Below are 17,128 nucleotides of genomic sequence, written 5' to 3'. Positions count from 1 at the left end.
CCTTTCTTTAGTTAAATGTATATGTATGTCATATTCTTCCAAATCCTGAATTCCTCACCTGGCTTTTTTAAAGCATAATTTGTATTACATTAGCAATATCATATTACCAGTCATAACCAGTCTATTTCCTATCTTAAGAATTCTCATTAACTACCAATATAGAAAAAGTATTGAAAAGTTTTCAAGAGTTGGAGCTTTCCCTCCCTATGATAGATAATTCTGTTGCAAGCACTATTTAGTTACAAAACAAATATGACTTAAGGGAACTGCCAATAAAAATATTTTCCCTTAATAAATACCTCTTAAGCTACTTAACATCCATTCTTTCACACTGAGGTGGTTATAAGTTAATTGTATATTTAAGCAAAAGCGAGGGAGGGGAAGTACAAATGATTTTCACTATCACAGATTTATGCTGTCTTCCCTTAAAACGTGTTTGCAAAACACGAGATTAAGAACAGATGCTCTCAAGTCCACAATAAACTAATTTTCAAAACTGACAAAAGTTGGAATTCTAAGGTAAGAATTTGTTATAGAAATAAAAGCTATACATTTAGCAGACAAGATCCACTTTAAAATAATTATTACATTTAGAATCCAAATCTACACAACAGAAATAATTTTTATCTCTAGAATTACATCTCCATCCAGAACCAATGCTGTTAGATCAAGATTCAAACTAAAAAGCAAGTCATACTCCTTTAAGTATTCTTAAGCATATGATTTAAAAAGAAAATGTGACATAATACATGGTGGATGCCCAATTAAAATATTTATTTCTTAACTATTTGCACAATCAACAAATATCTGGCAAGTAACTCAAAATGCCAAAAGTTAACCATGCCAGTATCTTTAATTTATAACAAAACAAAGATAAATAATAATGAAGAGATTTAAAACGTTAGGCTGAAAACTTCCATGAAGTCCATACTTTTGCTTCATTAATAAGTCTTAACCACCAAGGAAGCATTTATAAGAGATTATTACTTTGAAATTAAATTTAGTAAAGTCTTAAAAACAGGATCTCCTACTTACAGAATATGAATTATCTGAACAGCCTCTACTCTAAGAAGGGGAAATAATGATTAAATGTTCTCCATTCTATATTTCTTTGGAAAAAAGTTTTACTGTCTAATCATATGTAGCTCACATCAAATTTACTTTCTGACCATAAAAATATACTGTCTATATAAATCATACTTATCTTCTTAGATAAGTGATCACTATATGCAATAATTATTTTTATAATAAACAAAAGCTACAAGAAAATTATATATAAACACTCTTCACTTAAAAAGACATCAGGATTCAAGCTCTTCTGACAAGGAAGAAAATGTTGCCCATCTAATTTTATGCTTTTCCATTCTAAAAAAAAAAAAAAAAAATACAAACCTGTAGATAAGGTGAGTGACATTTTAATGGCAACTAAACTAAGTCATTAGTTCAATAAATACATATCATGGTATTTCTGTTTAAGCAGTTTCCAATGAATTTAGTATATCTTACATGAAGATCAAATCAGTTACTAGAAGAAATGTATTTTTTTAAAGTAAAATTTAATTCTCTCCCTGGGTACTTAACATTGTTGAAAAGAAAACTGTAAATGAATTTAGATTAAAAGTCATAAATTAACTTTGGAAGACTGCCTCCCTATGTTGCTGATCTACAGTGAAATCACAGAAATTAGTGATATACAATATCAACATTCCAAAATGTTATTAAAATCCAACCCAAAGCTGCATGGGATTTCTGGGGTTTCTAATGAGATTTTCATTCTGCTGAACAATGGCCATAAAAAGCTTTCTTCAAACCTCGCTCCATTCACAAGTAAAGCTGAAACTGAACATTTTTATTTCTTCTCTCCCTATGACAACTTCACCATGGAACAGTGAATAACACAGCTCAAGTCATTATGCTAATTAGAAATTAAATAAAAAGATGCCCTAACAATAGTTAAGTGTAAGGTGACATGCTACAACTAAAGACACAGTTCAAAAGCAGCTTTAGGAACTGTGCAGTACAGGCTTACAAAAGCTGAAAACATCAGAGAGGGAGCTCCTTGATGCTCCTGGTGACTGGAATTCTAGCATGTGGCCATTTTTCAGTTATAAGGCAGAAATTAAACTATACATTAATGAGAAGTATGTCACATGGCAATACACTCTTATGACCTGTTAGGGTATAAAATGTCTCAAGAAACTACTGACATTAAGACGATGAATGCCAAAGGAGGGGAAAAAACACCACCTTAATGATCTGAGAAGTTACTGAAGGCAAAGTTTAATGTATTGTTTCCAAACTAACAAAATAATGATCCTTTCCTATGTTAAAAGATTATAAGGAAGAACATAACTATGAGGAGTGAAAGTTGTACCTTAAGACCTGCTCTACTTTGAACAGCCCTGCACAAAATACACGTTAAACAGCTGGTCAGGTCCTTTGACTAACCTCTGGTCCAATTAATTTTAAAAGAAAAAAGGAGGTATGTACGCAAAAAACAGGGAGAAAGCAATGAAATAAAATTATGACTAAGAAATCTTCCAACAGTATTCTGAACATATACAAAACATAAATAATCCTTTCTTGTTTAGGCAGAGGTGGCTTCTAAAAAGATATACTATTAAAACATTTCATCACATCCAGCCACATATAAACATGAATGGCACATACAGTCTTCAGTTTCTACTAAGGGCTTCACCTTCTATTTTTAGCTGCATTTAACCTGAACTTCAAGTCCTACCCATTTTTCGAAACTCAAATTCAAAGGGTTCCTTTTCAATTCAGTCTTGTACTTTGCCTATCTACTTTTTAATCTTTTTAAAAAATCTACTGCATTCACCTGGAATGATTACGTATTCTGCTGGAGCATCTCATATATTTGTAGAAATGCATTTAACTCTGGTTTTACAGTGAACTTTCCATACTGTCATGCATTTTAGGATTTCTAAAGGCAAAAAGTACATGGCAATTTTTGAATCCCAATACCTTAATGGTACAGTGGCTTGTACGTTGTCAGCACCCAGTAAATAATATTTGGAAAGATTTTAAGATTTCAGAATTAAGTTCAATGTCATAAACTAGCAGATCATAAAATGTCACCAAATTAAATTTCTTTAAGGATAGCACCATACTAGAGACATGTTGTTCAAAAGCAACTTGGGGCCAGGCTCGGTGGCTCATGCCTGTAAGCACAACACTTTGGGAGGCCAAGGTGGGAGCTTGAGCTCAGGAGTTCAAGACAAGGGTAGGCAACATGGTGAGACACTGTCTCTACAAAACAAAACAACACAAAACAAAAAAATCAAGTGGGGCCAGGGCGGTGACTCACACCTGTAAATCCCAGCACTTTGGGAGGCTGAGGTGGGCAGCTCGCTTGAGCCAAGAGTTCAAGACCAGCAACATGAGCAACATGGTGAACATGGGCAAAATGGTGAAACTCCATCTAACTCCATACAAAAAATTAGCAGGGCATGGTGGCCCACATCTGCAGTCTCAGCTACCTGGGAGGTTGAGGTAGGAGGATCACTTCAGCCCGGGAGGTCAAGGCTACAGTGAGCCATGACTGCAATACTGTACTCCTGCCTGGGTGAGAGCAAGACAGAGAGAGAGAGATTGCAGGTGGGGCAGGGGTGGGGTGGGAGAGAGACACCCTGTCTGAAAAACAACAACAACAACAAACAACAACAAAAAAGTGGAAGCTATAAGCTCATGTTTGCCACAATGATCATGAACCTATCGTGTAACTATGAAGACTTTTATCAAAATATTTTCCTGTGACATTAAGCCTACCCAATATCTCATTTTTCTTTATGACTTTAATAAAATAAAAAGTATTTTTTACCAATAAAGAAATTAAGTTACCCAAAGTCAAAGTTGGCCAACTGCACAGCTGTAACAGACCCAATAACAACCACTAATTGAGAACCTATGACCATTACACCTCATTCAGAAGTGACCTTTCAAACTAAGAACTGAGAGATAAGTAGATATATCAGCCAGGCAAGGTAGAAACTAATCCACACAGGAAAAGAAAAACAAACAAAAAAACACATATGTAAAGACCTAGATCAAACAAAATGATTTACTAGAAAACCTAAAATTCAAATAGGTAACCCACTCTATTCAAATTTTAATTAGATATCCAGTCTTGGTTGAGTGCCTAATGAATGCCAGGAATTCAACAATGGCCTCTAGATGAGTTCTTCATCCTTTGAAATTATATCCAAAACTTCTGTGTGTATAGTTTTGGGAGAAAAAGGGATTTAACACAAAATAGTTAAAACACTTTCTGCCATAAGTGTTGAAGCCATAATTTTACTTCAGTTTCAAAAGCCATTTACCTTAGTCAAGCAATTATTTCACTTTAAATAATACTATGTAAAGAGCTCTACTCTATACACAAAGGCAGAACTGCAAATAAATTTACCTAAGGGAAAAAATAAATAAATAAACAAATTTACCTACAATTTGTTAGGTATCCCCGATGTGCCAAATGCTGACGAACTAAAGGGGTTGTGTGCCAAATTACACATACTGAAGGAGCTCTACATTGACACAAAATTCTATACCATAACAGTCATAAACCAGGAACTAATATGGTTTCTTCAACTCTTAAAAATACCATATTGTTCCTTTTGCAGAAGGCATTTTTCTTTTTAAAACCTGAGCCTATTAATTTTTTGCTAAACCTAAATATTTCAAAATTACCAAATGATAAAAAAAATTACAAACAGGAATAAGAACTTCTTATTTCTTCTGAAAGTGGAATTAGACAATTATTTATTTGTTTAAAATATATTTTAAGACTGTAACAAGTGCATTAGTCATCAACTATTTTAAATTACTATTCATTCACTTTCAAAAAGTATTTATTACATGCCTAATGTGCCCAGCTCAGATTAGTGTAGAAGATACAAAAATAGTTCATAGTCCTAGAAATAAGAAATATTAAATATCTTTACATAGGACTATGGATTGATCGCCAGGATATACGGCTAAGAGAAAAAAATAAGGTTAGAGAAAAGAGTAGATAGTATGCCACTATTTATTAAGAAAGAGGGCCGGGTGTGGTGGCTCATGCCTGTAATCCTAGCACTTTGGGAGGCCGAGGTGGGTGGATCACCTGAGGTCGGGAGTTTGAGGCCAGCCTGACCAGCATGGAGAAACCCCCATCTCTACTAAAAATACAAAAATTAGCTGGGCATGGTGGCACATGCCTGTAATCCTAGCTACTCGGGAGGCTGAGGCAGAAGAATCACTTGAACCCGGGAGGCGGAAGTTGCGGTGAGCTGAGACTGCACTGTTGCACTCCAGCCTGGGCAACAAGAGCGAAATTCCGTCTCAAAAAATAAAACAACAACAACAAAAAACAACCAACAAAAAACAAGGGCAAGAGTGTACAAAGATATACACATGTAAGGACAAACCAACAATTTTCTCTTAATGATTACTCATAAGGGGAAGGGCAGGAACAGGATGGCGACTGGACAGAAGGTTTGCCTTCTCTGGATAGATTTTATCATGTTTTGCTGATTTGAATCTGGAACCTTATACACATTTTACATGATTATAAAAGAAAACCAAATTTTTAAAAGATAATTCCAAAAAATAACATATCAAAAGCAAAGTGAAACAAATGAACCTGTGTGTCAAACTGATGATGTAACAACAGAGAGAAAATCTGAATTTAATCAAGCTTCTAGATCTAACTACCAATTCACAGGAAAGACAGAGGACAGTAGAACATGTTAAGCAATACTATAAAATTCAGACCATTGGAAATTCTAGAAGACAAAGAATCTAGGTATTACAACAAATTACAAGAAATTAAAAAAAGGAAGAGATTAAGGGGAACCTATACATTAAAGGATACTTAAGTTTAACAGCCAATTACAATACCTGGATTGGATCGAATTCAAATAATCTGTAAGAAAAAAAAATTAGGAGCCAGTGTAGGAAATCTGAACACTAGCTGGGTATGTGATGATGAAAGAATTACCGGGAATTTGTTTACCTATGGTAATATGATTAAATATATACATATATATATATAGTACGTTTCAGTCGGGCACGGTGGCTCACACCTGTAATCCTACCACTTTGGGAGGCCAAGGCCGGTGGATCACTTGAGGCCAGGAGTTCAAGACCAGTCTAGCCAACATGCTGAAACCCCAACTCTACTAAAAATACAATAACTGGCCAGGCACGGTGGCTCACGCCTATAATTCTGGCACTTTGGGAGGCCAAGGTGGGCAGATCACCTGAGGTCAGGAGTTCAAGACCAGCCTGGCCAACATGGTGAAACCCCGTTTCTACTAAAAATACAAAAATTAGCTGGGCGTGGTGGCTCGTGCCTGTAATCCCAGCTACTCGGAAGGCTGAGGTGGAAGAATCACTTGAACCTGGGAGGCGGAGGTTGCAGTGAGCCAAGATAACGCCACCGCACTCCAGGCTGGGTGACACAGCGAGACTCCGTCTCAGAAAATAAATAAAAATTTTAAAATTTTTAAATTTTAAAAAAATAAAAAATAAAAATACAAAAATTAGCCAAGCATGGTGGCAGGTACCTGCATTCGCAGCTATTCAGGAAGCTGAGGTGGAAGAACTGCTTGAACCCAGGTGGCAGAGGTTGCAGTGAGCCAAGACTGCACCACTGCAATCCACCCTGGGTGACAAGAGCAAGACTGTGTCTCAAAAAAAAAAAAAAAAGAAAATATTCCAGACCAAAAAAAATTGCATGTCTACTTAACGTGTATATTTTTCTTCTCATTATGACTCCTTAAATACAATATAACAGTTATTTACATGGTATTTACATTGTATGGGTATGTTAAGTAATCCAGAGATGACTTGTCCAACTCACAGCCATGAAGGCTTTTGAATGTGGCCCAACACAAATTCGTAAACTTTCTTAAAACAATATGAGATTGTTTTGTTAATTTTTTTCTGAGACAGAGTCTCTCTCACTCTGTCGCCCAGGCTAGAATGCAGTGGCACGATCTCGGCTCACTGCAACCTCCGTCTCCCAGGTTCAAGCGATTCTCCTGCCTCAGCCTCTGAGGCTGGGATTACAGGTGCACACCACCACACTGGGCTAATTTTTGTATTTTTAGAAGAGACGGGGTTTCACCATGTTGGTCAGGCTAGTCTCGAACTCCAGACCTCGTGATCCGCCCGCCTCGGCCTCCCAAAGTGCCGGGATTACAGGCGTGAGCCACCATGTCCAGCTGGTAATTTTTTTTTAGCTCATCGGCTACTGTCAGTATTAGTGTTTTTTATGTGTGGCCCAAGACAATTCTTCCAATGTGGCCCATGGAAGCCAAAAGATTGGACACCCCGGACTTAAAAGTATACGAGAGGATGTAAATAGGTTATATGCAAATATTCCACAATTTTATATCAGGGACTTGAGCATCCATAGATTTTGGTATCCATGGGAAGTCCTAGAACCAATCCCCCACAGACACTGAGGGACAAACATGAGTGCACACTTGTATACAAATGTGTATACATGCATACACACATGTGCACACATGATGTGTATACACACACATACACATACATACATATATGAATGACTTGATGTCTGATGAGCTTCAAAATAACAGAGGGGCACAGAGTTATAGATAGGAAAGATTAGACATAAATTGGTAACTGTTGAAGCTGGTTTATGGGACACTGAAGTCAATTATAACATTTTATTTTTGTATATTTTTATATTTCCACAATAAAAAAAGTACAAGAAAGAGCTAGCAGTTACTCCTAGAACTAGTAATATCCCTTCCCTAACCAGGAAAATAAGTAGCTATTATGGCTTTATTGTCACATGTCATCATTTGGTTGTCTTACATAACAATCCTTTCCAAACTTGAGATCCCCCTCACAAATTACTAAATATGCTGACTTCCTTCGGTGCATCTTTTCTTCCACCAGGAGATCTGCCTTTCTAATATATGAGAATTACAAGTCACTCCTGCTGGGGATAATTAAAAAAAAAGGAAGGGGCGGGAATCAAGAAGGAAAACAAACGATAGAACATGCATAGTTTTTATAAAGAAGGCTTAGGAAAGAATAAAGGAAGTAAAGGAAAAGAGGCTCAGACCTCAGAAATAAACTCCTACATCCCTCAGTAGAGAGAGCTGAAAGTCATATGTAATAGGCACTGAAAGCCTATGTTTTGACATGAATTTACTACAGGCAAAACCACCATCATATATCTATATGCACCGAGGAAGGCTAGACTGTTAAGTGTCACGTATATACAGTCTCAATGGAGCCTCAGGAAGCTAATCAACAACCTCAAATCACAAAATCAGAAAAGTGTTGAACATTTAGAAGAAGAATAGAAAGGAAAAAAAAATGCCTCTGAGTTGTGGTATTAACTGTCAGTAGAGCAAAACAAATGTGTACGCCCATTTTCTTTTTTTTCTTTTTCTTTTTGAGACAAGAGTCTCACTCTGTCGCCTAGGCTTGAGTGCAGTTGCACAATCTCGGCTCACTGCAACCTCCGCCTCCCAGGTTGAAGCAATTCTCCTTCCTCAGCCTCCCAAGTAGCTGGGATTACAGATGCTTGCCAGAATGCCCGGCTAATTTTGCATTTTTAGTAGAGACGGGGTTTCACCATGTTGGCCAGGCTGGTCTCGAACTCCTGACCTCAAGTGATCCACCCACCTCAGCCTCCCAAAGTGCTGGGATTACAGGTGTGAGCCACCATGCCCGGCCTGTATTTTTTTTTTCTTTTTTTTTTTGACAGAGTCTCGCTCTATCACCCAGGCTGGAGTGCAGTGGCGCTATCTCGGCTCACTGCAAACTCTGCCTCCCAGGTTCACACCATTCTCCTGCCTCAGCCTCCTGAGTAGCTGGGACTACAGGCGTCCGCCACCACACCCGGCTAATTTTTTGTATTTTTAGTAGAGACGGGGTTTCACCGTGTTAGCCAGGCTGGTCTCGATCTCCCGACCTCGTGATCCACCTGCCTCGGCCTCCCAAAGTGCTGGGATTACAGGCGTGAGCCACCAGGCCTGGCCATTTTTTTAATATAATAATGTCTCACTGAAATTAAAGTAATAGGGGAGAGTCTGAAGTTTTCACAGATAAAGAGGTAGTGCTGTACTCAAATTTACTACAAATTTAGTAATAGTAAATGTAAAATATGTATGTATTTATTGTCTTTCACAGACTTATGAATTATCTCAAATTCACTAATCCTATTTTTTAAACAAAGTTTTAAGTTTCAACCACTTGTATCACCAGAATTTTGAGACTTAACTCCCATGGTTAAGAGATTTCTGGCCAGACGCAGTGGCTCACGCCTGTAATCCCAGCACTTTGGGAGGCCGAGGCAGGCGGATCACGAGGTCAGGAGATCGCGACCATCCTGGCTAACACTGCGAAACCCCGTCTCTACTAAAAAAAAATACAAAAAATTAGCCAGGCGTGGTGGCAGGTGCCTGTAGTCCCAGCTACTTGGGAGGCTGAGGCAGGAGAATGGCGTGAACCCGGGAGGCGCAGCTTGCAGTGAGCCGAGATCATGCCATTGCACTCCAGCCTGGGCGACAGAGCGAGACTCTGTCTCAAAAAAAAAAAAAAAAAATTGAGATTTCAAAGCTGTGTTCACACCTGCACTCCCAGCTACTCTGAAGGCTAAGGCGGGAGGACCACACAAGCCCAGGAGTTCCAAACTAGCCTTGCTCTATTTATAGGGTAAGACCCCACTGCTATAAAAAAAAAAAAAAAAAAAAAAAAAAAAAAGGAGAGAATTCCGTAAATTACTTAGCTTCCTATATTCTGTCTCTTTAGTGAAACACTATGTCATTCAAGGCTAAAACTTATCTTTTTTTTTTTTTTTTTGAGACAGTCTCACTCCATCACCCAGGCTGGAGTGCAATGGTGCAATCTCAGCTCACTGCAACCTCCACCTCCTGGGTCAAGCAATTCTCCTGCCTTAGCCTCCCAAGTAGCTGGGATTACAGGTGCCTGCCACCACTCCCAGCTAATTTATTTATTTTTAGTAGAGATGGGGTTTCGCCATGTTGGCCAGGCTGGTCTCGAACTCCTGACCTCAGGTGATCCACCCGCCTCGGCCTCTCAAAGTGTTGGGATTACAGGCGTGAGCCACTGCTCTCGGCCTAAAACTTAAGTCTTTTACCACTGTAAGTCACGAGTACTACCTCAGCATTACTTATACCCTACATAGAGGAGATGCTCAATAAATGTTTGATGATTTAGCAATTGATGAGAAAGCAGGTAATGTATGTGCCAAGAAATTACTCTAAATATTATTATAAGCAGGTTTATGAGTATGGAAAAGACCCAACCTCAAGGAGCCTGTAGTCTTTTCTTTTATGTCATACTGCAGTTTTCAGTATGCCATAATTCTGGGAGATATTTTGTTTTTTTCTTGAGTGAGGTCAAGGAAACAGAACACAAAATAATTATGGATACTGTTTAACAATAGGCATTTCTAAAGTACTTGAGATTTTCTCTACACTTTTACAGAAATGAGAAAAATCTTCTCTCTAAAGATTATATGAACCAATCTATCCCCAGATAGTTTTATGAGAGGGATAGTGATTACAGAGTAACAACACACTTAAATGGGCATCAGTACTAAATATGTTGTTTATTAATTGGAAATAGGATTACAGCATTAGTGGATCAAGGAAATAAAATGGAGAATATATATTTGAGTATTTGTAAGAGTTTATAAGAGTCAAGTAAATTAATTTCCAAAAATTCAGAATTTAATTCTATTTGGCTAAAACAGAAAACAAATCCAAGGTTCTCTCTACTTTCTCATCACCATCATTTGCCAAATATGGCACAGTTCGATTTCTTCACTAAATCCAGCACCTAATTCATGTTTTTCCCAACCTATCCACATTGTGCCATCAACTTTAGCATGTCTGTAGATTCTCTAGTGCAAACAGAAAGCAGCAGGGAGTTGTTTCAAAGGAAAGATAATAAGCTTTTTTTTCAAGTTATCAAGCTTTCTTTTCAGTATGTCAAATGTGAGACAGTAAGATACCCAAATGGAAATATTCTGTAGATGTACACAGAGAATTTGAAATCAACAAAATGGTTAAGGAGATGACAATTTGATGACCATAAATACAGAAGTGATTAATGAAACTAGGTGTGATCTCAGGAAAAGGTAATTTAGAGAAAGAATAAGCTAAATGCTTATTTTGGCCTTCTATAGTGTTACGCCTAACCCAAGATCATTTTGTTTCTGTCATCTTGCTCCAAGCTGACAAGTATTACTGGATAAAGTTATGGAATCCTTCAAAGTGAGTTCACTACAAGTTCACATCATTTTAATTTTGACTGAATACTACTTCTAAACAATCCTTTATTCTCTTACTGTTGATTCACTCAAGTGCAATGATTTCCAACTTAAGAGCCTTCAGCCTCCTGGGAAACTGCAGAATTAGTTACCTTAATGGGTACCTAGAGCAACGCATTATAAACACTATTTCTCACATATCAATGTTGTGATTAATAAAACACAAAGTCATGTAAGAGTAGTAGCTTCTTTCTAATATGCATTTTCTCAATTGAATACTAAAATCATAACTACAACCATGGGTGGTCCACAAATTGTTTCAAAGTTACACAGGTTGTCATCTTCAAAATACTGGTAACCACTGCCTCAAAGTATTCCCCACAGCACTTAAACATCCCTTCCACATTCTAAGCTTCCAATTATCCCCCGCCCTCTCCCACTTCTGCTTTCATTTTCCTAAGAAAATCAAACACATCCCCATATGTTCTCTCATCTGCCTCAATCCATCTGAATTTATTCTTTCTCCTCTACCTCTACAAATATTTGATGATTTAGCAATTACTAGTGTCTCTCTTCCTTTTTAGGAATAATTCAACAACACATACACCTGATCCTATCTCTAACCTGGCCCCCAACCCAATCCATCAAACAGGTTTAGTCTCTCCTTCACAAGTTTCTTTCTTTCTACCTACAAACATTATCAGAGCTCACCTATATGGAAAAAACTTTACGCGATTCTGTTCTGTCCTAACTACTATTCTCTCTTTTCGTTTTGCTGTCAAGTTCTCAGGGTTTGCAAACTACAGCCTGAGCCGGCCACCTGTTTTTGTAAGTAGGGCTTTACTGAGAACAGCCACCCCCATTTCTATAGGTATTATTTAAGGCTGCTTTCCCACAAGGGCCAAGTTGAGTAGTTAAGATATCACATGGCTTGGAATCCTAAAATATTTTCTATCTGGCTTCTTAAAAAAACATTTGCCAATCCCAGGGGCTCCAAGCACAATCTACATTCAATGTCATCATTTCTAGGGAAGCAGGCTGCCATTAAAAATTTTGGAGCAGCAATAAAGTACTATGAGTAAAAGAGCATTTCAATACCAGTTTTAACAACAGTGTACAGGGTAGATATAAAAGAAGACTACTTAGGAAACTAGTGCAAGAGACTGAGCATTAGGCATAAAGGGAGGGAAATGAAAAGGAACTTCTTGAAGGCATAAGCATTAAGACTAGATGACTACATGTCACAGAGACATAACTAACACCAAAATTTTAATCCTTGATGATGTAGCTATCAAAATTTGCATTCTCCCCTATAACCTGCCCTAGACTTACAGCTCTTCATATTTTCCTGTCTTTCTGACTGTGGAGTACCTAAAATCCTAATCCTAACACTAATTCCATATATTCTGTGTGCCAGACATTCCCTATGCTTGCCATCTAACTCCTGGGTAAGCAAATCCCATAGGAAGAGACAGTCCCAACAGAGTTGGCTGAATGAGTGCACAGGGCTAATGCCAGAGGTGGATGGAGTACTCACCTGTGGTACCAAGCAGAGAGAGAGGGGGGAAGTAAGATTTCAGGTCCAGAACTGGCTCTAGCCAAACAGGAAGAAGCAGCTATGAATCTGCTTACAGCAGAAGCAGAGTGTCTTTGGTATTCTGACATACTCTTTCTGACGTTCAGACAAACCACCATTAGAGTAGCCACTGGTAAGAGAGTCGCATGAGAAACAAACCAAAAAACAAGACCAAAAAGTGAGGAATTAAACGGAGTAGACCCTATTGGTCTTTTCTCTAGGAAAAGCAGTCCTCCTTATGAAAGATGATACTACTTTCAAAATGGCCAATATGATACTAACCTTCAGTAACAGAGTTTTCACATCCCACAAGGTTGAGAAGGATATCATCATCTTTATCATCTACTTCACATCCCAGTAGCATCCAGCTTTCCACATTATCACCTTCTGAAATGGTGCTCTCTTCCTCTTCACTTGAACTGACCTCTATAATCATGACCTCTCGGATTACACCTGATCTCTCTTCAGATTTAGGCTTCTCAATATCACTCTTGCATTTCTTATCAACCAGCTCATTAGATTGAAGAGAAGAAGAAAGACCATGGGCATTTTCTTGTGCTTGAACTCTAACATTCTTTCCTTTACATCTATAAATACTGTCTTCATCAGACAAAGTGATGACCTCTGACCCATCTGACAGCTGGATGACCTCACTATCTGAAAGGACGATTAGCTTCTTCTGATTTGGTTTACTACTCGAAGATTCCGAATTCCCAGAGTTCTTTTCTTCATGCTCTTCCTCCCTGATGACATCATCAAGATCTTGGGCATAATGAATTTGGCTATAGAGTTGAAATTCCACCTCACTATCAACACTCAGTTCACTAGATGACTCATCTCGATAAAGATCATCTTCGTATGCTTCTATAGTCTCATAGCCACCAAACATCATAAAAAGTCAGTAACCTTGAAGCTGCAAAAGAGAAAGTTGTACACAGAATATACTTTAAAAGTTCAGATCATGCCAGTTTAAGTAACAATATCACCTGTCAGTGACAACTGCTAATATGAAGGCCATCACTATTCTCAGACATATTAAAATACCTTTTTTTCCAAGGATTTCTAAGTCCTGTTAGGACCCACTCCTGTAAGTCCCACCACTCCCCAACGAGAATTACTACTGACAAATTGAGTTATAGTTATTGATGGAAACACAGTCAACACTCTAAGAAATGCTTTGTTCTGTGATTTCATCGTGCAAACTTCATAGGATGATTTTCACAAACTAGATGGTGTAGTCAACTACACAACTAGGCTACATGGTATGGTCTATTGCTCCTAGGATACAAACCAATACAGCATGTAACGGTGCCAAATACTGTAAGTAACTGTAACACAATGGTATTTGGGTATCTAAACATACAAAAGATATAGCAAAAACGTATACAAATCCTATGGGACCACAGTCACACTGTCTGTCTTTAACCAAAATGCTATTATGCAGCACATGATATGTAAGATTTCACAGGTATATTGTAAACGAAAAACAAATTGAGATCTACCGCAGGATACAAAACCCTTGCTTTCCAAAATGTTAAAACAAAACTTAAAGCAGCTCTCACTATCCTATCCATTCTTCATCTTTTCCTTGGTTCTGGTTCTATAGCTCATATTTTCAAGCATATACAGGAATATTACTTCAATTATGACTAAAATCTATAACAGGAAACAATTTTGTTTACTGTTTGGGTGTAAATGTATATTCTCAATTAACAAATTAATCGCACGGCCCTCTGATCATTGGCCAAAAGAATAAATAAAAATGCCTGAGCTGGCAGTGGCTCATGCCTGTAATCCCAACACTTTGGGAGGCCAAGGCAGGAGGATCACGTTGAGGTTAGAAGTTTGAGAACAGCCTGGGCAACACAGTAAGACCCCATCTCCATAAAAATTAAAACTAAAAACTTAGCCAGGCATGGCAGTGCAAACCTGTAGTCCCAGCTACTACTCAGGAGGTTGAGGTGGGAGAACCGCTTGAGCTCAGGAGTTCAAAGTTACAGTGAGCTATGCTCATACCATTGTACTCCAGCCTGGGTGACAAAGCAAGAACCCAACTCAAAAATAAAACAAGGGTGGGCCAGTGCAGTGGCTCACGCCTGTAATCCCAGGACTTTGGGAGGCCAAGGCGGGTGGATCACTTGAGTCAGGAGTTCGAGACCAGCCTAGCCAAGATGGTGAAACTACATATCTGCTAAAAATAAAGAAATCAGCTGGGTGTGGTGGTGTGCGCCTATAATCCCAGCTACTCAGGAGGTGGAGGCACAAGAATAGCTTGAACCTGGGAGGCACAGGCTGCAGTGAGTCGAGATCATGCCACTGCACTTCACCCTGGGCAACAGAGCAGACTGTCTAAAAACTCTGTACTAGTTACAAAAATGTATATTTTTACAATGTATATTTATAATGTATAAATACAAACTTAATAATGACCCAATATTGAGACAAAACTCCCAGCTTTGGGAATAAATGTGTAAAGTGAAACACTTTACTTTCTACTGTGAGCATATTAAATCCTCCTCAGCCTTCATCTTTTAAACTCAGCTCAAAATCACTTGCAACCAGGCTAAATTAAGAGCCCCTTTTATGGGCTTCCATAAGTACTTTACATGTCAAAACACTCATCACATTTATAATTACTTATTCAATATAAATTTCCAAGAAACGCAGATCACAAATCCCAGGAGGGCAGGAACTATATGCACTCTGCTAAACAATGAATCACCAAAGCCAAACAGGGTAACTGGTATTTTCGGGGTCAGCTACAAACGTTTGCTGAATTCATAAATGAATAAATGAACTACACCATCGGGCATTTGTTCTTCAGCCCTGATAAATCTAGTATGTGCTTAAAATACAAAAATTATGAGATGAATTTCTCTGTTGTCTTTCGACTACTCCAAAGTCTTAAATTCTAGCATCAGCAACCAAAACTCTACACAGTAGATGTTTCCATTAGGTACTGATGGACTACTGATTAAAATGAGAGCCCTGAAAAAATAAGTGTGTGTCCAAAATCAGGGACAGCCTAAAGAGCAATAATGATGCCTATTTATTCTTTCTTCCACTAACAGCTATACACATAAAATAAAAAATAGTTGTTTTCTTAGTGTCCCAAATTTCTGCCCAAAAATACCAGGGTGTTGTGGTGGTAGTTCTGGTAATAGAACCACCTTAATCCCAAAAACCAAATGGACAAGAGCCAAAAATGTACTACATTCCTACTGGAGTTGTTTGTTTTCCAGAAACAAATAAACCCACCTGTAATGCTTTTCTTCTAAAGGGTATCATATACCTGTGCCCTTGTTGCACTGTCCTTCAGGTGGCTATGCTGTTACTGTCACACAAATTGAATGTGATTGTCTGAATAATGCTCACAGCATTCATCAGTTTATATTGAATTGTTAGCCTCAGAGGAATTCGAATAAAAGATGAATCCTTTCCTTTTTATTTAATAGGTAAATTAATTCTAAAAGAAGTCAAAGGAATTATGCTTCTTTCAAAATCCTCACTGGATCCATCCTGAGGATCCAGTGTGGACTTAAGACAAAACATAATTCCAGTGCAGCACAGAAAAAATTAAAAAGCCAAATTACAAAGTTACAAGTTTGTACTACTCTTGCAGCCATCCCAAAGGAAAGGGATTAAGAATAGAGCCATAGGCACACCTGTGAATGTATGCCAAAAATAAACTACAGAACCATAATAAAAACTGACTTCCTTGGGTCAAAGGATTTATCTCTTTCCCTGAAATGTAGAAAAATGAATTTAACAATTTAGCCCCTATGGCCTTTAAGAGGATTTTGTACCGTCTGTACTTGAAAATTGTGCTGGGCATAACGTGCTCTCTTATTTAGGTAGTTTATGTATGCCAGGGTTAAGGTCTGCCTAAGGTTGTTTTCGTTAATGTTACTGCTTTAATTACGTTCAAATGAATTTAATTTACCCTTTTAAAAAGTGTCTTGGAAGACAATATATGTTTTTTACACACACACGCACACGCACACACACACACACACACACACACACACACACACCCTTGACTCAGAAGGCTTTCTCAGCTTTTTTATCCCTGTACATGATTCCCAAGTATACTAACTAGGTAACAAAATCAGATTATCTCATACAGACTCCTCAATCTTCCCATCAGGAAACTGAAATACAAAGAGATAGGAAGCCTATTCAAGGTTATGCAGCTGGTTAAGAACACGGCTAGAAGTGATTCACATTTCTGTGATTCTCAGCCAACTGTTTACTAAAATTTTTAAACA

At 38.0% G+C, this 17,128-nt stretch overlaps 1 protein-coding gene across 18 annotated transcripts in view; it reads right to left on the bottom strand.

Moving 5' to 3' along the window:
• The window catches only part of ZCCHC7 (zinc finger CCHC-type containing 7), a 237,983-nt gene that overhangs the window by 218,065 nt on the left and 2,790 nt on the right, over positions 1-17,128 (bottom strand). For 16 of the 18 annotated variants that reach the window (XM_005251612.4, XM_024447691.2, XM_011518050.3 and 13 more), the window contains exon 2: positions 13,143-13,773. The exons of the other annotated variants lie outside the window; for them this stretch is intronic. In XM_005251612.4, the coding sequence (XP_005251669.1) occupies positions 13,143-13,752 (610 nt within the window). In that variant the 5' untranslated portion in view covers positions 13,753-13,773. The remainder of the gene's footprint in view (positions 1-13,142; positions 13,774-17,128) is intronic. 18 annotated transcript variants of the gene reach the window in all.

This window comes from Homo sapiens, chromosome 9, assembly GCF_000001405.40.
Source record: "Homo sapiens chromosome 9, GRCh38.p14 Primary Assembly".
Classification (NCBI taxonomy): Eukaryota; Metazoa; Chordata; class Mammalia; order Primates; family Hominidae; genus Homo; species Homo sapiens.
The sequence above is the reverse complement of the archived record's forward strand: the minus strand, read 5'-3'. Positions and strand labels throughout refer to the sequence as shown.